The sequence below is a fragment of the Homo sapiens genome, chromosome 8 (genome assembly GCF_000001405.40).
Source record: "Homo sapiens chromosome 8, GRCh38.p14 Primary Assembly".
Taxonomy (NCBI): domain Eukaryota; kingdom Metazoa; phylum Chordata; class Mammalia; order Primates; family Hominidae; genus Homo; species Homo sapiens.
In genome coordinates, this window is record NC_000008.11 from 90799922 (window position 1) to 90825250 (window position 25329).

At 36.2% G+C, this 25329-nt stretch overlaps 1 protein-coding gene and 1 long non-coding RNA gene across 3 annotated transcripts in view; one reads left to right on the forward strand and one right to left on the reverse strand.

The window, feature by feature from the left end:
• NECAB1 (N-terminal EF-hand calcium binding protein 1) overlaps positions 1–25329 on the forward strand; it is a 167619-nt gene that overhangs the window by 8147 nt on the left and 134143 nt on the right. For both annotated transcript variants that reach the window (NM_022351.5, XM_011517213.3), the window contains exons 2-3: positions 1770–1794; positions 24796–24904. In NM_022351.5, coding sequence (NP_071746.1) covers positions 1770–1794; positions 24796–24904 — 134 coding nt within the window. The remainder of the gene's footprint in view (positions 1–1769; positions 1795–24795; positions 24905–25329) is intronic.
• LOC105375635 (uncharacterized) overlaps positions 6553–25329 on the reverse strand; it is a 52864-nt gene continuing 34087 nt past the window's right edge. Inside the window, exons 2-4 of the long non-coding RNA NR_188048.1 lie at positions 12984–13239; positions 12735–12873; positions 6553–6808 (exon numbers count right to left, since the gene is read on the reverse strand). This is a non-coding gene — a long non-coding RNA (uncharacterized LOC105375635). The remainder of the gene's footprint in view (positions 6809–12734; positions 12874–12983; positions 13240–25329) is intronic.

The following is a 25329-nucleotide window of genomic DNA, read 5'->3' on the forward strand; positions in this document are numbered from 1 at the left end:
TCTTCCAATTCTTGAGCATGGAATGTTTCCCCATTTGTTTCTGTCATCTATGATTTCTTTCAGCAGTGTTTTGTAGTTCTCCTTGTGGAAGTCTTTCACTTCTTTGGTTAAATGTATTCCTAGGTATTTTATTTTTTGTGTAGCTATTGTAAATGGGATTGCATTCTTGATTTGTCTCTCAGATTGAATGCTATTGCTGCATAGATATGCTACTGAGTTTTGTACCTTTATTTTATATCCTGAAACTTTATTGAAGTCGTTTATCAGTCCCAGGAGGCTTTTGGTGGAGTCTTTGAGTTTTCTAGGTATAAGATTATATCGTCAGTGAAGAGAGACCATTTGGCTTCTTATTTTGCTATTTGGATGCCTTTTATTTCTTTCTCTTGCCTGATTGCTCTGGCAAGGACTTCCAGTACTATGTTGAATAGGAGTGGTGAGAGTGGGCGTCCTTGTCTTGTTCCAGTTCCAGTTCTAGTTCTAGCATTCAAGGAGATGCTTCCAGCTTTTGCCTGTTTAGTGTGATGTTGGCTGTGGGTTTGGCATAGATGGCTCTTATTATTTTGAGGTATGTTCCTTCAATGCCTAGTTTGTTCAGAGTTTTTATCATGAAGGAAGGTTGGATTTTATCAAAGTCTTTTCCTCCCAAACCCCTATTTCCAGATAAAGTTACATTCGTGGATACTGAGCATTAGGATTTCAACATTTGGTTTTGGAGGACACAATTCAACCTACAATATATCCAATAACAAAACGAATGACAGCAGTGCATTGCCTATATATTCCTAGGTTCAAAGTCAGCAGAAAGAAGAGTATGTCTCTCTCCTAACCACTCAGGCAAAACCATGACCTGTCATTCACTGGCCCTAATGTGCTCATCCCTGAGCAGTCACCGTGACCAGAGGGATATGACACCGTGTTTGTCAGACATAAGTGCCCTGCCCAACACTGGAGCACCTAGGCCAAGCATGTAGGAAATGTAGGCTTTCCAGAAGAACATTAGAAATCATTACTAAAGAGTAATGGATACCGGATGGCCAAATAGTTCTTATACATCAAGACAATTTAAAATACGTCCAAGATAATATGATTAATAAAGTATAAATAAAGTAGATATAGCATAGACATGTGGTTACTCTTTACCCATGATGTATTATTTTTCTTTTATGTTTTGTTGAATCCCAGTTTTATTGAGGTATGATTGACTTACATTAATGTGCACATATGTAAAGTGTAAACTTGATGAGTTTTAACATATATGAAACCATTACCACATTCAAGATAATAACTATCTCTATCACCTGCAAAAGTTTTCTTACATCCTCTTGTAATCCACCCTCCCCTGCCCTGCCCATTCCTAGGAAGCTTAATCTGTTTTCTGTCCCTATAGATTAGTTTGCATTTTTAAGAATTTTATATAAATGGAATTATAAGTAGGTATTATTTTGCATCTAGGTTTTCTACTCAGCCTAGTTATTTTTGGTTCTATCCAAGTTGTTGTGTGTATAAATAGCTCATTCATTTTTATTGCTCAGTAGTATTCTATTGTATGGCTATACCACAGTTGGTTTGTTCATTCACGGTTTGTTTATCCATGGACATTTGGGTCATTTTCAGGTTTTAGATATTATAAAGAAAGATCTCAATTGGGAAACGCTTACTTAAAATTAGAATGTATTTTATTTAATTATGAATAAATTATGTGTAAGTGTAACGTTCGTTGCAATATTTATCTAAAATGCTGATAAAATTTTTTCCTTTTTCCTTTCCAGATACTGAGGAGAGCAGACAAAAATGGTAAGACCAAAAATCTACAGTATCTATTTATTAATCTCTTACATTTTATATTACCTTATAAATAATAATCAGGAAAAAGGGGACAGTCCGGGAAAATTACATATAAAATACTACCTTATTGTACTAGTGATCGTTTTAGATAAGTTTTAGGCCCTAAATATTCATAAGAAGTTGGCAGAAGGATTTACATTTGAAAGGAATGTTTATGCCTTTGAAGTGAGGAGCTCTGCCATATTTGGACTCTGGCTTTTCCTTTTCATGCACCAAAAAATAATTTTGCAGCAATAGCAGCTTCTATTCATTGAGTGTCTACTGTGTGCCAGGCATTGGGCCAAGTGCTTTGTGCATATTATGTCCTAGAATTATTACAATACAAAGCTGAGACTGGACCCCAGGTCTGTATGACACGCAAGTCTGGACTCTCCACACTGAGCTTTAACATGGCTTTGGAGATTTTACTGTACTCCAAGAGGTCTGCCTGGAAACCTGCATTGCTAGCTTTATCTCTACCCCATTGTTCCTGGCCACTGCTTTCCTATTTGAAGTGTATGCCCTGGAAATGATAATCTATAGCAACAGAGAAGTAGGAGATGGCAACCTCGAAGTAAAAACTTGCTCTGTTGATTTAATGATGACTGCACAACATCTAAGTTGTCATAAGCAGTATCTTTCGACTCTATTATTCCACTAGAAACTTTGTCCCAGAGAACACCAAATAAAAGCTTGTTTTGTTTTTGTTTTGTTTTGTTTTTCTTTTTGCTGCTATATTATAAGTACCATGGTAGAGGTATATTCTTGACAAGAATTTCTTGACAAATTTAGGATACAAAGGGTTCTTTCCCTTTTTTGAAATCCCATTTATCTATGGGGAGAGATTACAGGCAGAGTCCAGATCTGACAGTTTAAAGACATATGTTGTGGTCTATTTTACCCTTATGCGGGCAGATCAAGAAAAGCTTGACTGACAAGACACACCTTTCTACACAAAAGAAGATTATTAATCCAAGGAACAATGTAATAGCATCCCAAGTCCCAATAATATTTAGTTGTGCTTGGCCATCAAAATATTTTCTCAGACTGTGTTGTGGTGATTGATATATTGTCAGTTCAAATGTGCTTTTTGTTCCCATTTGAAGCATTTCACTATTTTGTTTTTAGTTTTAGTTTTTGGGTTTTTTGTTTTGTTTTGTTTTGTTTTTGAGACAGAATCTCTCTCTGTCACCCAGACTGGAGTGCAGTGGTGGGATCTTGGCTTACTGCAACCTCCGTCTCCTGGGTTCAAGCAATTCTCCTGCCTCAGCCTCCCAAGTAACTTGGAATACAGGCACACTCCATCACACCCGGCTAATTTTTGTATTTTTAGTAGTGACAGTGTTTCACCATGTTGGCCAGGCTAGTCTCAAACTCCTGACCTCAAGTGATCCACCCTCTTCGGCCTCCCAAAGTGCCGGGATTACAAGCATGGGCCACTGCACCCGGCCCATTTGATTACTTTTAAAGACAGAAATAATGATGGCATCATTTTGTCTTCTCATCTCATCCTTTGGTCTTTTGCCTGATATCCAGCCCCAGGGATGCCTGGTGTACAATTGAATAGCCCACCTGTCTCTATGCCACCTGCCTTGTATTTTAATAGCAGTCTCCAGCTCAGAAATGCTTTTGCTCCCTCTCCACCCAAGCTCCTAGTTTTCTCAGGCTATACTTTCATTTCCTAGACCCCAAAGCTCTGATTTAGGTCCACCCTTACCTTTGTATGTATTTCTCTTCTTTCCATCAAAATTAGGATAATCCACAGTCAGAACAAAAAGCACTGAACAAAACAATGCACATGATTCAATGGCTTATGATAACCTCAAATATCGTGCTGCATGAAGTGGTCACTTGCATTGGCAGACCCGTCTCATATTTCCTCACCTGCCCCCACTCTGCCTTCCTTACCGCCTCTCCTAATGTCCATTCCAACATGCTGTCAAACTACCTGCCTTTCTGCTCTTACTTCTCAAAATCTTCCTCATGTATCCTCCTCTGCAGCTGCTGAAGCACTCAGTCCCCCTGGGCACCCTCCATCTGCCACACTGTTATGTTACCCTGCTGTGACCTCCGCCTCCTGTAACTTTCCACCCTCAGTCAGCTTGAGAACACTCACGCTTTGCTTACATTCCTGCTCAAAGACACCTTATCTGGGAAACCTCCCCCAGTTCCCTTGACAGGGCCCCACCCTCTCCCTGTGTTCTCAGCACAATTGGACAAATTAGCACAATTGAGTGTTCTCAGCACTTTGGCACATATTGATTATTGTCCTTAAGGTGGAGACTGCTTGTTGGCTGGAGATTGTATTTCTCTAAGCCAAGCGTGCCTCTCTAAGGCAAGGAACTTATGTTACAAGTAGATGGTATGCCCAGCCAGTGCTAGATGCTCAATAGACATTTGTTTAATGAATTAAGAAGAAAATACAGTATATATACTATTCAGCCTTAAAAGAAAGAAGAAATTCTGTCATTTGTGACAACATGAATGGAATTGGAGACCATTATGCTAAGTGAAATTAGCCAAACACAGAAAGACAAATACCTCTTATACATCTATATCGAGCCTAAAACAATCGAACTCATAGAAGCAGGGGGTAGAATGGTGGCTACAGAGGCGGGGGAGTGAAAGGAGTAGGGAGGTAATAGTTGAAGGGTACAAAGTTTCAGGAGGAATAAGTTTAATTTATTTTTAGATCAATTGCACAGCATAGTGAATATAGCTAATCATTGAGTTCTGTACATTTTAGTACCACCGAGAGTAAATTTCTTCTAATGTTCTCATCACCAAGAAATCGCAAATATATGAGGTGATAGAGACATTAATCTTAATCTTTCCACATTGTATTCAAAAATCATAACATCACTTTTTATCCCATAAATAAATACAACTATAATTTGTCAATTTATGATAACAATTAAAATAAAAGAGGATTGAGGATGTTCTGCTCTATTATTTCTCTCTCTTCTCTCTGTCCACTTTTCCCCCTGCCTTTCATCCCACCTTACTCTTCTCCCTCATTCTCAGTGTAAAGTTGGAGGGAAGCAGAGTCAGGCAGTTTGGGTTTAAACCACAAGTATGCCACCTAGGAACCTTATAAAGAGCATAGGTAATGACCTCTACCATGTCATGTGGTAATTATGAATAATAAATGAGGGACTATCCATAAAGTTACCAGGCAAGTGCCTGGAATGTAGTAACAACTAAACACTTGCTCATTTTGCTGCTATTATGATTAATATCATCTCTATTGCTACTGAAAGCTTGAGCTGTTTTTTCTTCTGTGATGACTTGGCTATCTGAGATACTTTTTAACATTTTAGTTATTTCTATTGCAGTGGAGTTTAGTAGAAAAGAAAAATAAAGCTATTTACCATATATGGAGTATTTGAAAGGGAAAAGGATAGTGGATAATCTAATGTAAATGAGAAGATAAAAGCATATAAAAGTAAGCATCCTTCTGTACCATGTGTTCATGGCATTCTGTATTTGCAAATAGACAGCTGCTACATGTATTTGAGCTCTTGCTAACAGACCCTCATGTGATAGAGTCCCTTGTGGACAGCATAATTGGTGACAGAATAACGAAAGGAAGAAGAGGCAATAGGCAGTATAATTGTTCGCCTGCCCAGAGGACAGATTTAGCTTTTGGAATCTATCTGACATCTGACAAAAAAGAGAAGCTGCTGGATAAATTGGGTGGGGTGGGAGGGATACACATTAACGATTAGCTATAATAATGACATCTTGGAGAGATTTTTTTGGTTGGTTTTTTTTTTTAATCATAGGCTAGGATCCTAAACATAAAGATAGCCTTCAGAGTAGGATTGCTTAGGAGAGATGCTAGTGCTTTGAGCCAAAGAAACCCAAATTCAAATTTTTAGAAATATAAAACTTCTGAGGAAGCTTATTTACAGGTTGAATGAAAATGGAAATGATACATGGGTATTTATACAATTTGCAAAAATATTTTTTAAATTTAAATATATTTTATTTTAAAATATTTAATTGGGAAATAAAGGTCAAATATATTCAAGGTATATAATATGATGATTAGATAAATGTATACATTGTGTAATTCTTACAATAATCAAATTAATTAAAACATTCATCACCACCCATCGTGTACATTAGAGCCCCAGAACTTGTTCATCTTATAACTGAAAGTTTGTACCCTTGACTATCATCTCCCATTTCCTCCACCCCCAGCCCATGGCACCCACTATTGTACTCTCTGCTTCTACGAGTTCAACTTTTTCAGATTCCACATGTAAGTGAGATTGCACAGTATTTGTTTTTGTGTGGGGTGGGGGGCAAGAATAGCTTTGAAATCTTAGTAAGAGGCAAAATGAAAAGCTTCATAGTAGTGAATAGCACCATTGGATTCCTCTTGTTGATTTGCACTTGCTAAGGTCTGCTATCATTCTTGATCAGTAAGTAGGAAGGCTATATGGGTGGCACAATTGATCCCTGTTTAATCACTGTTCCCTCTAAGAGATTGTTATAGTTCTCCTCAGGACTTTAGTCCAATCCAGCAGCCTGCACGTATTAAATTTGTGAGAGCAGAGATGGTGCCTATTTCACATACCCCCAGGTCCACCGTGGTGAGCAAAATGCCTGCTGCAACACAGACATTCATTAATATTTGTGAATTATTTGTAAGAAATGCATAACCAACAATTTCACTGAAGAAATATAATCATATATATAATTTAATCAAACAAAGCACTGTTGTTATTTATCTGTTGTTTATTAATTAATAATGTTCGATAAAATGTATGGAGGACATATTACAAGCTGAGTCCTACCCTCTGTGATTTATATACATTGTCTTCAATCATTATGACAAGCCAACAGAATAAACAGTTTAGAGCAGTGGCGAGAACATAGGCTTTGAGGTCACACAAGCCCATGCTTGGCTGTGCCTCCTTCTAGCTTTATGACCTTGAGCAAGTTGTTCAAATTCCCTGTGCCTCAGTTTCCGCATCTGCAAAGGAAGGATAATAATATTACTTCTCATAAAGTTGTTTTGAGAATTAAATGAGATTATGCCTCTGAAACACTTATCCTGATCTCACCTAGTGATAATTGCTCAATATTTTTAGCTATTTTTATTATTTTCCCTATTTTTTAAGTGAAGCAAATGAAGCTCAGAGATGTCAGATAACTTTCTCCAGGTTACATTGTATGTTAACAGTAGCACCAGATTAGTGAACCCAGGTCTATTTCACTTCATATTTGGTGATTTTTTTTCACTTTGTTGTATATGCACCTATGTCACCTATGTATGTATTTCAGACTACAAATATACAAATATAATTATAGTTAGAGCCTGAATTTGTATACATCTTGAATATGATGTTCTGATGCTTCAATATGTGGTAGTTTAATTGATTTAATGCATTTGATGTTTCCTTGGTAGTCTGAATTATGAATGAATGACTAATACACCTCCAGAAAATAATGTTGGCAATGAAAATCCTAGCCTAAGAATAGTTGATGTAGTATTTATGTATTTAGAGATACTTTAAATACTTCATTGGATTATGATCAATTAATTTGGAATTGATTATGTAAGAATTGGTAATAGTCTTTCCAAACCGGTCACCTAAAGTTTGGTTTATTCTATTAACATGTAAAAATATGACCTTGAGTAGAAGCTGGAACAAAGGTTCGGTACGTATGAGTATTTCCAATAAAGGCTGGGTCATCACCTAGCAACACTTCAGAGTCCCGCAGAGCTCTGTGATTCTGTCTTTCGCACTTGGGAATAAAGCTGCCCTTTGATGTGAGCTATTCAGTCAAGCATCACCACCCCGCACTGTGCTCTCCAGACCCTCTTATCTTCTAATCAGGGCTCCTAGCTCCAGGTAAAATGTAAAGATTAAGGGCCGGGCCCTAGAAATGAGGGACATTGACATAAGGCTCTGTATTTCATAATTCCTCATACTTTTTGCAAACATTTTTGGGAAAATAATGAAACTGAGAATCAGATAACTTATAGATTAGTAGGGTTCTCACATAGCTCTGTACTCATATGTTAACTCTCAGGTACATGCAGACACCTCAACTACACATCTACCAGCTCGAAAGTCAAAGCAAAGTCTATTAGAAGTGATTCATTTAAAAAAAGTGCCCTAGCAATGACCTTATTGCAAGAAATGTCTCCTCCACCACTGCAAAATATGTGGGAGAAACCCATGAGTGCAAGTTCTGAATGTAATGATTTTTTTAACAAAATAAAGAAAAATAAATTTTCTATTTTCATAGTATGACTTTTTTTTTCTAAAATGCAAAGCACTTTCACACCCATAAATGTGTTACTTTTCTGTTAAAAGCAGAAAACGGAAAATTCTTATCTTTACATAGCTGGGTTTATCAGCTGCCACAGAAACAAACAGAAATTTCAGATTCACTTTCCTGAGCCCTCAAAATGGCTCCCAAGGGCTGTCAAAGGCTCAAAAATCAGGTCCTGCTCCAGATCCTGGAGGGCACACAGCATAGACTTATCCCAAAACGTGGCTGCTACCTTAAGTGCTTTCTGTAATGGGCATCTGTGGTTGTCATCCCAGCCTTCCTTTCCTTTCTGTTCCTGCAATTTAATCGTCTACTCTGCTCCATCTAGATCCCAGAGATATGTAGCATAAGGGTTAAGCTTATGTATGATTTTGCAGTCAGATTACCTGGGCTCAAATCCCCATTCCACTTACTGTGCAATTTGGGTAACTTAATTTCCCCACCTGTGAAGTGGAAATAAAGGCAATGCCTCTCTCACAGACTTGTTGGAAAATTAAATAGATCATACACAGAAACTCTTGGAAAGGTGCCTGGCCCTTAGGAAGTTCTTAATAAGTGTTACCTATTTCCATTTTTTCATCCTAATCCTTTTTTTCTTTTCTTTTTTTTTTTTTTTTTTTTTTTGAGATGGAATCTCACTTTGTCGCCCAGGCTGGAGTGCAGTGGCACAACCTCGGCTCACTGCAACCTCCACCTGCCGGGTTCAAGCAGTTCTCCTGCCTCAGTCTCGCAAGTAGCTGGGACTACAGGTGCGTGCCACCATGCCCGGCTAATTTTTTGTATTTTTAGTAGAGACGGGGTTTCACCATGCTGGTCAGGCTGGTCTCGAACTCCTGACCTCATGATCTGCCCACCTCAGCCTCCCAAAGTGCTGGGATTACAGGCGTGAGCCACCGCGCCCGGCCTTTTCATCCTAATTCTTATTCTTATTTGGCGGGACTGTCAATCACAATGTCCTGGTGCTGAATTTTTCACATGGCAGTGCCCAGAGGTCTGTCCATGACCACCTTACTAAGACTCCAGAGCTGCACTAGTGTTTGTTCTGCCTTTGCCCTGGTCATTCAGCTTTTCTTATTGTTTGCAAACCAATAATCCTAGTTGAAATTCTCGTGTGTCTTGGAGTTGGTGCTTTGCGCCCAGCCACCTGACTTGCCCCTCTAGATGTGTCTCCATCTCAGGACAGGAACCACCAAGCAACCCTTGTTCCAACCAAAAGTTTCAGAGGCTTCCACAACTCTTCTCTTTCTCTAGTAATTCCACATCCAATCTATTAGCAGGGCCTGTTGGCTCCACTGTCAAAACATCTTCAAAACCTAGTCACTTCTTGCTATTTCCAAACCTTCAACCCTAATTAAAGCCTCCTTAATCTGGCACTTAGCATACAGCAAAAATTTCCATATTAGAGCTATTGAAGACTTCAGAAAATCAGTGGCAAAGATGATAGAGATAAGAAAATGCATTTGATACTTTTGGATATATAATTAGCAGATTTGGTAATTAATTGGAAGTGTTAAGTAAGAGAGATGAAGGCATTTACTGACGTGGACATGTGCAAGGTTGTGTATGTTTCAGATTTCCAGTTTCTGACTTCAGTAACTAGATGGATAATGAGGCTATTAACTTCTTTATGGTTATGAAAGTGCCTTACATGTGAAAAGCTTGATTTTGTTGTAATATTGGTTACTTTTAGTTATGAGAGTTCTCCTGTGAATATCTGTTGATCTAGTAATAAGTGATATTTCTGTGTTTTTCTTAATATTCAAAATCACACCTAAGTTGTTAAAAAATACTGAAAAATGTAATAGCCTCTATATTATCAACTCTTTATGGCCATGAGAATATTGGTTTAGACTTTACAAGAAAATATTACAGTAATAACAGTAAACAATCTTATTAAAAGATTATTATGCTGTGTGAGGCATAATTTTATTTAATCTGTATAACAATATTGCAAGGAAGATACTGTCATTGTCCCAATTTTATTTATGAGTAATCTGAGACATAGGGAACTCGTCCAAGGGCATGGAGTGAGTAAATAGGATTTGTATCCAGATTTTCTTCTAAACTAAAAGTCTTAGCACTTAACCAGGATGCTTCATTTGCTGTGGCTCATCTCTGTAGCAGAATTGTGCTGTTGAAATCTAGAAATACCAACATTTCCACATGGAGAATCCTAAATGATTCAGTGTAATTTAAAAAAAAGACAAAAGTATTTGAAATTATTTTGGCTATGTTCCTGTTTTAAGGTGGCATGGTATGATGGAGAGTTGGAACTTTAATCTGCCATTTGTTCATTCACTCATTCCTTTATTTGCTTAATATTTTGTGAGTGCTCTTTAAATGCCGGAGACTGTGCTAGATGGCGGGAATACAAAGACAAAAGAATACATTTACTTTAGTATACATTTACTTGGATGTGATCTTAGACTAATTCATTAACCTCTCTGAGTTCATTTCCTCATTTTTTGAAAATAGGAATAATAAGAATTGGCAGGACTACTGGGAAGAAAAAGCCAAGTAAATATAGTTAAAGTCCCAAGGATGTTGTTTAGAATATTGTGAGTAATCAAAACATGTCAGTTCCCCTTTGCCTTCACTAATTTCTTATAGGTTCTAAAGATATGATTTCTTCACTTGCGAACTAAGGAAGGCAGACTATAAAAAAACTGAGCCCTTACAAAATTTTACGTTACTAGGAAAAATTATATACTTATGTAATAAAGGGAACTCACCTTTGATTTTTGCACATGGATTTGAGAAAACTTAGTCAATAAACTCTAAACTCTTAGAGATTTGAGGTGGGGTAAGGGGCATGGTGTTCGGGGACAACATTGTCCTCTGGGAGCTCAGCATCTTCTTGATAGATGAGTCATGCACATGGAGAAAATTGAATATTTTTCTTTTCTTTTTTTTTTTTCTTTTTTTTGAGACAGAGTCTTGCTCTGTCTCCCAGGCTGGAGCGCAGTGGTGCAATCTCGGCTCACCGCAACCTCCACCTCCCAGGTTCAAGAGATTCTCCTGCCTCCGCCTCCCGAGTAGCTGGGACTACAGGCGCTTGCCACCATGCCCGGCTAATTTTTTGGGGTTTTGTTCAGCAGAGACAGGGTTTCACTCTGTTAGCCAGGATGGTCTCGATCTCCTGACCTCATGATCCACCTGCCTCGGCCTCCCAAAGTACTGGGATTACAGGCGTGAGCCACTGCACCTGGCGAAAATTGATTAATTTTCAACATCAACGTCAACAGCACAACTCTGCTACAGCGAAGAGCTACAGCAAATGAAGCATCAATAATTTCAATGCGTTCACAATGCAAGAGGCATCACTAAGCCAAATGAGTGAGAAAACACCCTAATGCATTAGAGTTCTGAGGAGGAAGAGGTCTCTGGGATAGGATGGCCTAGGAAGGCTTATGGACTCATTGTCCTCAAATAAATCTCCAAAGATGAATAAAAATTCAGATAGCTAGCAAAAAAGAAAGATGATTATCAATTAGGACCAATTCAGTTTAAGTGACAGAAAACTAATTCAGATTAAAGTAAAATTGGGAAATTGTTGGCTCCTATAATTGAAAAACCCCCCAAATGGTAAAGCTTTGAGTACAGCTTTATCTAGGTGTTCAGAAATTACTCTCTTTATCTATCTCCTTTCTTGTCTCTACATCTCAACTTTGGTTTGTGTCTGGTTGGTCTTCCTTTCAGGTAGGCTTTCTTATCAAGGTGGTGAGATAGTACCTAGAACCCATCCCACCAGTTCAACAGGTCAGAATAAAGAGAGAATTTCTCCTTTACATTAATTTTAGCAAAAATCTCAAGATTTTCTCTGATTTATCAACTAGTCACATGCCCATCCTTAAAGCAACAACTGAGGGTTTGGATGAAGTGGTTTTCTAGGCTTAGATTATATACACACCCCCAGAGATGATGGGTGCATAAAGCTGCACCTCAAATAGAGTTGGAGAGACAGCAGATGATCTCTCAAGCAAAAATCAGTGTTTCTACCAAAAGAAGAGAGAATAGATGTTGACCAGGCAAAATTAACAGATGTTCCTCTTTTGGAGGGTAAACTAGCTGAAAAAGCAGTGATTATCCAGTGAGAATGCAGGTATAGAGGAGGGGAAATGCAAGCGATTCGATTATGTACTGTACTCCTCTTTCTACCTCTAATGCCTGTGTTAAAATATTTAATTTTCATTTACCAGTGAAATTTGTCTACAAATGGAGTATTCTTCACGTTGCTAATTTTGAATCTACATCCGCTACAAACTAAATATTCCTCCGACACGTTTCATCTGTCATTCTACGAAAGCCTGAGTAAATAGAAGTGTTTTTTTCTTACTTTTCTCCTAGGCTCACATAAAATGTTATTGTTAATTCTCCATGGAAATGACATTAAACGGATTTTTTTCACTAAATTAGGAGCACATTCTTTCTAGCCACGAAAACTAATACACATTCATTCCCTCAGAATGAAGACAGTTTTTTTCATTTTCCCAGCACATTTCCAAGTGACAAAAATATTTTGATGTAACAAATGAGCCTTCCCCAAAAAGTACCTAAATATATGATGTCAAGTCAGTAACGAGCCAAGCATTTGACTGAATTATTTATTTTTCTACCTGATATCTGAGCATTTGGTTGATTTTAAACTGAGAGCAGCTTTAAAGACCCGCTTCCAGGAATGGGTCTCGGGAGGCGTGCTTTCCGGCCCCTCATCTGAATCATTTAACCTTGTCATATTTCAGTTTCCTTACCCTCCTGAAAAGACAAATAAGAAGATGAAACTACTTCAAGAAATTATTGTGACTATAGTCAATAAAATTTAGACTAAAAGTACCTCGCAAAATAACAGATCAAAATATACTTACTTGTGGCAGGGCGCGGTGGCTCACGCCTGTAATCCAGCACTTTGGGAGGCGAGGCAGGCGGATCACGAGGTCAGGAGTTTGAGACCATCCTGGCTAACACGGTGAAACCCCGTCTCTACTAAAAATACAAAAAATTAGCCAGGCGCGGTGGCGGGTGCCTGTAGTTCCAGCTACTCGGGAGGCTGAGGCAGGAGAATGGCGGGAACCCGGGAGGCGGAGCTTTCAGTGAGCTGAGATCGTGCCACTGCACTCCAACCTGGGCGAAAGAGCGAGACTCCGTCTCAAAATAATAAATAAATTAAATAAATAAATATATATATATGTATATATACACACACACACACACACACACACACACACACACACACTTGTATAAGCAGTGACACATGAAACGAATTTCATTTCTCCAAATAATCTGTAAAATACATGGAGCCAGGGTAGAATGTCTAGAGTTAAGAAACTGAATCTGTTGAGTCTATTACTGAGTTAAATATATGTTATATTTCAATATCTAATATGAATAAGTATAACTAATTTTGCCATGTTGATAATGTAGAGTCAGCTTTTAATATATTTTAATATGTTAAAATATTTTAATGCTACATAATTTTCATGTTTTATTATTATCATTATTATTTTAGAGACAAGATCTCACTCTGTCACCCAGGCTGGAGTGCAAGTGGCGTAATCATAGCTCACTATAACCTTGAATTCCTGGGTTCAAGTGATCCTCCTTGTCAGCCTATTGAGTAGCTAGTACTACAGGTGCACACCACCACACCCAGCTAATTTTTAAATTTTTTTTGTAGAGACAGGGTCTCACTATGTTGCCCAGGCTGGTCTCAAACTCCTGGCCTCAAGTGATCCTTCTGCCTTGGCCTCCCAAACTAATTTTTCAAAAAAGTTTTTGTTTTAAAAGTTTTAGATTTACAGAAAAATTGTGAAGCTAGTGTACAGAGTTCCCATATAACCCAAAACCAAGTTTCCCTTGTTATTAAACACATTATAATTAATTAGTATGGTACATTTGTTGTAACTGATAAATCTATGTTGATAAATTATTTGTCTACTAAAGTCCACACTTTGTTCAGATTTTTCTTAGTTTTTGCCTAATATTCTTTTTCTGTTCCAAGATCACATCAAAGATACTGAGACTGCATTCAGTCATTATGTCTCCTTAAGCTCCTCTTGGTTGAAACAGTTTCTCAGACTTTCTTTGATTTGATAATCTTGACAAGTTTCAAGGAGTACTAGGTCTGCTATTTTGTAGCATGCACTTCATTTGGGATTTGTCTGGTGTTTTTCTCTTAATTAGACTGGAATTATGTGTTTCGGAGAGAAAGACCACAGAGGTAAAATGCCATTACATCATATCAAGGATACATATGATCAATATGATTTAGGATGCTGATGTTGATATTGATCACCTGGCTGAGGTAGCATTTGTCAGCTTTCTCCACTGGAAAGTTTACTCTTTCACCTCTTTTCATACTTTACTCTGTAGGAAAGTCACTATGCCCAACCCACACCCAAGGAGAGGGGAGTTATGCTCTACCTCTTTGATGGTTGAGTATTTCCATGAATTATTTAGAACCCTTCTGCATGGGAGATTTGTCTATTTTCTTATTTATTTATTTAACATTTATTCACAACATTATGGACACATGGATATTTATTGTATACTTTGGATTATAATCCAATATTACTCAATTTGTTTTGTTCTTCAAATTTTCCCTCTTTGGCCATTGGGAGCTCTTTTAGTTGACTACTGTGTTCCTTTGACATACCCTCATAATTATGGGTGGGGAGTTTTTACATTCTGGTATTAACAGATGCTTCAGGCTCATCTTTTATAATCTCTACTCCAGTCCTAGAAAAAATTATTTCTCTGAGGAACTCAGGTCTTTTTTATCAGAGAATGTTATTAGAAACCAAGGTCTGGATAATTGTGCTCATTGTTACTGATGTGTCATCATTGCTTCTAAGCCCTTTCAGCTAAGAAGCAAGGAAATACATATGTGTATACTAACCCATGTATATGCACATATCTATAAATATTTCTGTATGTACCCATGGGTATCTATACTGAGCTAAACATGAGTTTATATTAATGTCTCAGACTCTAATCCATTACCACATGGATCGTTCTAGACTCCTGTCTTTGCTTGTCCATATCCTCTTACTCAATAGTGAGAAAACTGGCTCCTAGCCTCAGCCACCTATTTACATAATTGTTTAATCCCAGTCTACATGTGTACCAGTATCAGAATGTTTAACTCATAGCCTATGGAAAAAAACTTCATCGACTACAGCACAGTCTTATATACAGTTTCTTTTGCCTTTAGCTTATAGACTTCACTATTTTACAGTTACTTAAGTTAGCACCACTCTCCCTCAATCCCTCCAGTGAGATTGTTTTGTACATTCCTAATACAGTTAAATTGTTTTGTCACATTCTGCATTCTATCCTGAGATTCCCTGAACTCTTAAATTATTTTTTAAGATTTTGCATGCATTAAAGTTCATTCTTTGCACAGTAAATTTCTATAGGTTTTGGCAAATGCATGTTATATATCTATCATAGCATGTCATACAAAATAGTTTACCTACCTTCAAAAGTCCTCTGTTCTTGTCCTATTCACCCCTCCCTCCAACCTCCCCAAACTCCTGACAACCACTGATCTTTTTGCTATCTTTATAAATTTGCCCTTTCCAAAAGATCATAAAATTGGAATCATATATTATGTAACATTTTCAGACTAGCTTCTTTCAGTTAGCAATATGGATTTAAGATTCATTCAAGTTTTTCCATGACTTCATAGCACAACTTTTTATCATTGTATAATATTTCATTGTGTGGATGTATCAAATTATTTTATCCATGCGTCTACTTCAGTTGAGCTACTTCAGTAGAGACATGAATAAAATAATTTGTTTCCCATTTTTTGTGATTATGAACAAAGCTGTGATATACATTCACAGGCAGGTTTTTAAGTGGAAAAAATTTTCAAATGTTGGATAAACACCTAGGAATGTGATTGCTAGATAAGAATGTACCAAAATGTCTTCCAAAGTGGCTAAATTATTTTGCTTTTCTACCAGTAATGAATGTTTCCATTGCTCCACTTTCTAGCCAAAAATTGGTATTATCAGTTTTTTTCAGGTTTTGTATCTCATTACTGTTTAAATTTTCAATTCCCTAATGACCATATGGAACATCTCAAATGCTTGTTTGTCATCTGCATGTCTTCTTTGGTAAAGTGTCTGTTTAGATCTTTTGCTGATTTTTAGTTGGCTTTTGTTTTCTTACTGTTGAGTTTTAAGAGTTCTTTGTATATTATGGATATAAGTCCTTATTCAGATATGGGTTTCGCAAATATTTTCTCCCAGACTGTGGCTTGTCTTTCATTCTCTTAACAGTTTCCCCTCCTCACAGAGCAAAAGCTTTTCATTTCAATGAAGTCCAATTTATTAATTTTTCTTTTATGATGTTGTATCCAAAAGCTCATCATTCAAATCACGGTCACTTAGATTTTCTCCTAATTTTTAATTTTAAATGTAGGTCTAATATCCATTTGAAGTTAATTTTCGCTATCTCAAAGGTGTTAGGTCTGTGTCTAGATTAAATTTTCATACATGGATATCCAGTGATTTATGCACTATTTGTTGAAAAGATGATCTATCCTTTCTTCATTGAAGTGCCTTTTCTCCTTTGTCAACAATCAGTTGACTATACTAGTGTGGGTATACTTCTGGACTCTAAATTCTGATCAGTTTATTTATGCATGTATTGTTTTACAATACAACACTGGTTAAATTACTGTAGCTTTACAGTAAATCTTGCAATTGGGAAGTGTCTGTCCTCAAACTTTATTCTTCCTCTTCAGTATTGTGTTTCCTATTCTAGGTCTTTTTTGGAATCAATTTTTAAACACCACAGAGTACTTTCCTGGGATTTTGGTTGAGGTAACATTGAATCAATAGATTAAGTTGGGAAGGATTGACACCTTAATGATATTGAGTTTCCAACCCATGGACGTAGAATATCTCCTTATTTACTTACTTAGATCCTATTTAATTTCTTTCATCAGAGTTTTGTAGTTTTCTGCATTTAGAACCTTTACAATTTTGTTGGATCTACACCAAACTATTTTTCAGCTTCGATTATAAATGGTATTGTTTTAAATTTCTAATTCCAATTGCTTATTGCTGAAATAAGTAAAGCAATTGACTTTTGTATATTAACCTTGTATCGTATGACTTTGGTATATTTGCTTTTTAACTCTAGGGTTTTTGTTTTGTGTTTTGCTAATTTGGGAGATTTTCTACATTGATAATTATGTCATCGTGAAGAAATACAATTTTGTTTCTACCTTCCCAATCTATATAATATATATCCTTTATTTCTGCTTCTTGTCTTAGCAGCAGGTAGGACTTCCTATATATTATTCAATAGGATTGGTGAAAAAGGATACTTCCTAGGATTTCTTCTCAATCTTAAGGAAAAAAACATCTGCTTTCCCACCATTAAGTATGATGTCAGCTATAGATTTTTTTTGTAGTTTTTTTTATCAAGTTGGAGAAGTTTTTTTCTATTCCCAGTTTGCTGAGAGTTATTAATGGGTGTATGATTTTTCAAATGCATTTTCTTCATCAGTTGATATAATATGATTTTTTCCTATTTAGCCTGTTGATTTTGTGGATTACATTGATTGATTCTTAAATATCAATTCAGCCTTCCATACCTGAATTAAATTCCACTTGATCTTGGTGTGTAATTTTTAAGCATTGTTGGATTTGATTTGCTAATATTTTGTTGAGAATTTTTGCATTTATGTTCATTAGCTATATTGCTCTGTTGTTTTCCTTTTTGTAATGTTTTTATTTGGTTTTGGTATTAGGCTAATGCTAGCTTCATAGAATGAATTAGGGAGTGTTATTTATGCTTCAGTTTTCTGAAAAAGATTATGGAGAATTGCTATCATTTGTTGCTTACATGCTTGGTAGAATTTACCAGTGAAACCATTTGGTCTGTGCTTTATTTTTTGTAAGGTTATTAATAACTGATTATTTAATATATATCAATCTACGGAGATTAACTATTTCTCCTTGGCAGTTTTGTGTCTTTCAATGAATTGATCCATTTCAGGTAAATTATGAAATTATGGACATAGAGTTGTTCATAGTACTACTTTATTATCCTTTCAATGTTTGTGGGAACAACAATGATTAACTCTTCCTTCATTTTTGATATTGATAATGTGTGTTTTCTCTCACTTTTCTTGCTTAGGCTGATTAGAGGTTTATCAAGTCTATCAATCTTTTCAATCATATTTTAGTTCTGTTTATTTTCTCCATAGTTTTCCTATTTTGAATTTCATTGATTTCTGCCCTAATTTTTATTATTTATTTTCTTCTGCTTATTTTGAATTAAATTATTTTTCTCTCTTTAGTGTCCTAAAGTTGAAGCTCAGATATTGATTTTGGTTCTTTCTTCTTTTAACATTTCTTGCAGAGCAATTCTGCTCACAATTAATTTGTTCAGTTTTATTTGTTTGAGAAGGACTTTATTTCACCATTACCTTTGAAGAGATTATCTAGATTGTGATGTTTTCTTTCAATACTTTAAATATTTCACTGCATATTCTTACTGCTTGCATTGTTTCTGACAAGAAGTCCACTGTAACTGCAATTCTTCTCCTTAGCCCTCTATAGCAGAGATGCTTGTTGTTTTCTTCTTGTTCTGTCTACATTTCCTCTTTGTCTTTGGTATGTTGCAGTTTGAATCTGATATATTGAGGTATGAGTTTGGTTTTGGGTGAGGGGAGATTGATCCTCTTTGGTACTCTCTGAGCTTCCTGGATCAGTGGTTTGGTTTCTGTCATGAATTTTGTCTTGGCCATTATTATTTGAAATATTTCTTTTGCCCTGTACTCTCTTTCTTCTTCTGGTATTCCAATTACATGTAACACTTTTTGAAATTTCCCAGAGTTCTTGGATTTTTTTAAATTCTCTTTTTGCTATGCATTGTTGTTTCAGAAAGTCAGTGTTTTAAAAGTATAATAATTTTAAATGCTCACAAAAACTAGATTAAAATTGTCACAGGGGAGGAGAAATACCGACATTTCTATTGACCTATCCTCAAGTTCTTTCATTCTTTCTTCAGCTGTGTCAAGTCCACTGATAAGCCCAACAGAGGTATTCTTCATTTCTGTAACAGTTTTTATTTATTTCTAGTATTTTTTTCATTCTCTGTTAGAATTTTTATCCGTCTGTTTACATTACCCATCTCTCCTTCCATATTGTTTACTTTTTTCCAGTAGAGCCATATTAATCATAGTTATTTTAAATTTCTTGTTTCATAATTGTATGATTTGTGTCATATCTGAATCTGGTTTTAATGCATGTTTTGTCTCTTCAGACTGTGCTTTTCCTTGCATTTTAGCATGATTTGTGAATTTTTGTGTGTGTGAAAGCCTGGCATGATGTATCAGGTAATGGGAACTGAGATAAATAGGCCTCTAGTATGAGGATTTATGTCAATCTCACTAGGATGGGCTGTGTTTAATGTTTGCTCTAGTGGTAGGGCCAGAAGCTTCAAATTCCTTTTGTGTCTTTTTGTTTTTTCTGTTGACTCTGAGTTTCCCTAAGTATTCCCCCTCAAAAGGACTAAGTCTGGCAGCTCTTTCAGCTGTCATTCACCAATATCATACAGGAGTCCTTCTGTGGTGGTAAGGAGTGGGGAAGCAGACTTGATCTCTAAACTTATGATTAAATCTGAGTCTTTTTGTGGGCGTGTGTGCCTGGGCTGACACTTTTGCAGGTGTTTTTTAGCTGTCCATGCTCTTAGTTGAGGAAGAAAGGTTAGTATAAACTATGGTGAGAAAAATGCCCGTCCTCTCAGGTGGGACAGGGCTCTGGTAAAGTCTTTGACCTGGAGAGTAGATCTTTTTTTAGGGAGAACATTTGGGGTATATTTCTTGATAACTCTTCCCCTTCCCCTGCCAGAGCCACAAAGGAATCTTTCTTACCTCCTCACTGTGAGAAACTGGTGAAGTTTCTGGAGGTAAAACCCACCAAAGTATGGAGGTTCCCCAAAGGCTGCACCCCCAGCAGTTTCTCCCTCTCATGCTCATCCACAATCAGCCTCCAGCAATTCATCAAAACTACCATTAAAGGGTCCCTCTCAGTTTATGGCTACAGTAGCTTCTGTTCCAAATAAGCAGGTCTTAGCTGTGATTCTCTGCTTTTACCTGTCTTTCCAGATTTGGGGTAGCAGTTTACCCTGACTTCAGTTGTCCAATGAATCGAAGAAAAGTCATTGAATTTCAGGTTTTTCAGCTTTTTGTTGTTTTAAGGACAGAAATGACATCTAAGGCTTAATGTTGGAGCTAAAATCAGAAGAGGTATTTTATTTTCATTTATATATTGTTAGTAAGTTGTTTTAAAACAAATATATGACATGTAAAGGTCAGAATAGGAGTAATTAAATTCAGTAATAATTTCTATGAGTTCATTTGGTTCTAAGGATTCCATTATTATTATTGAACATGATGTTTTCATTTTGATAAACTACAATATTTAAAGTGTTCAAAAATGCTAAAGTAATACATAAGTGAAAAACCAGTGTTTTGAGAGCATAATCATTTTAAATGCTCACAAAAACAGGATTAAAATTGCTGTGGGGGAGGGGCAATACTCAGATCAGAGCTCTAGTTGTTGTCATGTTTGTGGATGCAGCTTGAAGGAGACATTAAATTACTGTTTAAATAGTCTTTTTTTTTTTTTTTAAGAAGCACTAGTTTTAAGATTTACAAACCTGATTACCTAAAAAAAAAGTCTGTCATTAAACATACCTTAAATACCCATTTTCTGTGTGTACTCAATAAATATTTTTCAAGGAATAGTAGAAAATGGAAATTAAAAACACATAAATGATCTTCACTTAGCAAGAGTGAACTAGTAAATCCATATCTACCATTGTTGAACTCTTACTATGTGCTAGGTGCTGTGTTAATTGTTTTCTATATAGCCTTTCTCTTAATCCTCTCAATAGCCAGGCATTTACGAAATCTGAAACTTAAAGGAATTAGTTGGTACTTCCAACATTCTTTCTGGACCCTTTTCTTCCTTGTTGTAGGCATTCTCCCTGGGAGAACTCACTCACTTCTAAGTCAATTACTTGGTATTGGTAACTCCCAAGCATACACCTCAAGCCCCCATCGCCCATTGACTTTTCTAGACCCCTGTGATTCTACTACTGTGCACTAGATGCCTCTACTTACTCCACAGGTACCCCCAATCTCAACATATCCAGAAGAACACTCTTGGCTCACTCCATGCTTTTGCTCAGTGTTCTTTCTAGCAATGAATGGTGATACCATCCATCTGTTGCTCAGTTTGGAAAGCAAGTCTTATCCACACTAAGGTTTCCAAAATATGACTGTGGCTCCTGAGCACTCTTGGGGTAAATTAAAATCTCTTTATCACAATTTTGATGGTTTCTCATATTTCCTCTTCATATCTAACTCTGACTCTTCCTTCTATCCTCCAAATATATACCCTTTGGCTAAGTATAGTGATTTTTCTTTTCAGTTTCCAACCCAAGTCTTTTCTTGCCTCCTAGCCTTGTCATTTGCATTCCCTCTGCCTGGAGTACTCTTTCTCTTTAAAGATCTTCCTTCACTAACCCCTATTTTTCATCTGTGTCTCATCACAAGTGCCACTTCTTCTGGGAAACCTTCCCTATCCCTTTATAGCTAGACTTTTTTTTTTCTTTTTTCAAAATGCTCTCACATCGCCCTGTGTCTCGTAGAATCCCCCTTATTATATCGTACCATTTACTGTGTCATAATTATAAGATCCATAAAAGCTTGTCTACCTATGTTCTTAATACAAAACACAGTTTTTTGGCACATACTAGGACCTTGATAAACATTTGATGAAAGAGTGGATAAAGTGCCCTACTAGCAAATGGCAAAACGTGTTAAAAACTAAAGATTTTTTTATCCCAAGACTGTGGTCTAAGCAACTGCACTCTGCTGCCTCCATCTCAAAAAATTATTGGAATTTGGAACATAAGGCCAGGATAATTTTTAAGTAAAGCAGAGGAGGGCCAACTATTTTCAGGATAAACTTGGACAAAGCATGTAATTCCAGTTGAAAAAGCTGAAAAACCTGTACCCTTTGGTGGTAAAAGTTCAAATTTATTACCATAGGAAATCAGACCTCACAAGATTTGGCTATTCTGTGAGCCAAACCAGTATAAATCAAAGGTTAACTCTGTTGTTCCATTTCAAAAGAAAATATCAACAGGAAAGTTGAAGTTTGAATAAAATGTTTCTAATACAAATTTATAATTGCTTTATAAATACAGAATCATACTACAAGGGAATATTTTTCCCTTTCCTTTAAAAAATGTAATACTTTTGTTTAACATTAAGGCTCTAGTCTACAACTCTTCAAAAGTAACTCTTTGCAATTGCTTATTTAAAAGTGTGGCCACCTAAAGTGAAGTCTTTCAGGAATACTGCATGTGGTCACAACAGGTTTTCAAAGCATACTTTCCACCCTTCAAGCCAAGACTATAAGCTAATGCTTCCTTTTTCTTTTTATATATTTTTTTCTAATAAGAGGATTTTTTTCTAAATAAAAGTCTTTTAGCCCCAGAGAATCATCAGAGCCCTTATTAATCGATGCTTTTATTTGATAGAATGCACATTATTATTTGAAATCACTTACTTATCATAATTATAAAGCAGTATTACAGGGGCCCACCCTATCCACAGGGTGCACAGGCAACCCAAGTGCAGTAATAGCCTGTTTCCACTCACCTGAGAAATATTAACCATTCACCAAGGAAAACATATTCCATCATCAATGTATTCGTATTACATTCACTACATATCATAGTGTTGGAGATGGAAATAGCAGGTCGATTTCTGTTTTTTCTTTTTTCTTTATTTTTTTTTTTAAACAGTACATGAAAAGGTCTTTCTTTTTCGCTCTTTAACCTCAGTCTGATTTGTGTCCAGTTTTTCAACCTGGCAATACATTTTTCATCAAAGCAAGGAGATACACAGTAGAAATACCACACTATGTCTTGTCTAGCATATCCATCAGGTTACATGGGGCTAAGTTTAAAATAGTCATATGAGGCATAAAACTACCTCATTCAAAAACAGAAACACAAAATTAGGAAATTGATGAGCCTGGGGATTGAACTTCATTTTGCAATGGGTTGTTATGTCACCTGAATCGCTAAGCTGGCTTGGCCCAGGAGGACCCAGAAGATCGGGTCCCTAGATCTGTGCTTGATTCAGATCTGGATTTATTCTACCTCTAAGGCTGTGTCTGCCCAGTTAAACGTTAGCAAAAATTAACTGGAAAATTAGATTATTGTGCCTTTTGTGTTAAAAAGCAAAATGAAATACAATTTAAAACCTTCCAGGACTATTTATACTTATATTTTTTGCAAATAAGGATTTTTTAAAATGTTGTAGTCTGTAAGTCCTTATCTGAAAAAAATAAGTAATTCTATGATTAGGCTTATTTTATCCTTTATAATAAAAATTCAAATTTCTTGTCTACCCACCCCTCCATGCCCTCTGTGAGATTCTAATTCGCTTGTGGGGCCTAGGAATCTGCATTTCAGCAGTGCTCCAGGCAATGTGTGGGCCATATTTTGGGGAAACAAAATGTTCTAGATGAATCTAGAGGAGCTCTTTCTATTAAATCAAACATTCTTCTACTCAAAGACAAATTCCACTTTGTTCAGTATAGAGTTGTTGGTAGAAGTACATTATAGGAGTTTCGTGACCCTGGACAAATTCCATCCTCCTTAAACCTCAGTTTTCTCATTGTAGATGGAAGGGATCTTACTATCTTTTACAGTTATTTGGCAGCTTATCTGAGATAACTGAAAAACTAGCTCCCTGCACAGAGAGAAAGATGCTTCCCTCTCTTTTCTCATCCATTCGTTTCTCTAGGTTTGCTGCTGCTGCATTTTGTACAAATCTTTTGCCTGTTATTAATGTGTTTCTTCCATCTCTGCTGATCTAGATTTTACCTGTTGTCCAAAGTCAGGGGTGAATGCTACTAAAACCCCTCAGGCCCTCAAATGGAAAGAATCTTTTGTTACCCAAAACTCCCATACAGTTAAAATACCTCTGTCTCTTATTGCATTAACCGTATTTTACTGTATAAAATACTTATAATGTCTGTATATATTATCTCTTTTATGATCTCTTTTATTATATGTTATCTCTCTGATTGGGTTTCACCTTTGTGCCCTACAGTAAGTAAAATGTCTTTGGCTTTAAAGGTACTCACTGATTTAAAGGGCATAGGAATGGACATAGTTTGTTAGACTATAATAACAACTCTGATATACATTTATTAAACACATCATATTTATCCTGCAATCTGCTAGGTCCTATATGTGTTTGGTACCATGAAGGTAAAACATCTAAATAATTGACTCTGTGTTGAGCTCTTTATTTGGTTATGTGGACATCTTTCTTGTATGGCCTGTTAAATGGTTCATTAAATGTTAAATGTTTGTCATGTGAATAAATGAACCAAAAAATACCTAGAACCTTGTAGACTTATATTTTATTAGAGTGTACACATCTGTGTTCTATGTTATATAAAGATATATTAAATTATTTTTCTTTTTAACACCTTCAGCTGTTCTTTCTTTTTGAGTACACGTGTGTACATGAACAAGCGTTTGGGTGAAGTTTTATAAAGCAAAAACAGAACAATGTACAAAATTAAAATAATTTGTGTCTCTTTGTTCTTGCCATTTCAGATGATGGAAAATTATCCTTTGAAGAATTCAAAGCATATTTTGCAGATGGTGTTCTCAGTGGAGAAGAATTACACGAGCTTTTCCATACCATTGATACACATAATACTAAGTAAGAAACTTTTTTATCACTGGATTCCACAAGTGAGGCACAGAGAGCGTGAATGCATTCATGTCCAGGAAGAAGAAAGGGAAGAACAATATAGAGGGTATATTTTGCCAAGTTTGCCTATGCTTAATTCTGAGATACCTCTTTAGTAATTAAAATTGCTCTGAAAAATTGACTTTGAATCAGAAAATAATGATCTTTTGTAGAAAGCTCCCCTGAAGTGTTTTTAGATTGTTCCCACTTTGCAGAATGTAAAACAAAGTATAAATTATAAATAAATATAGTTCTGCCATTAATTTAAAAAGTAGAATTTTACCTTGTTATTTAGGCTTAATCTCAATTTGCTTTGTTTAAAAATTATTCTTAGGCCATTCTTACATTAACACAGTGAAAAGGAAGAATTGTAGCAGTTATCTGGACAATTCAGG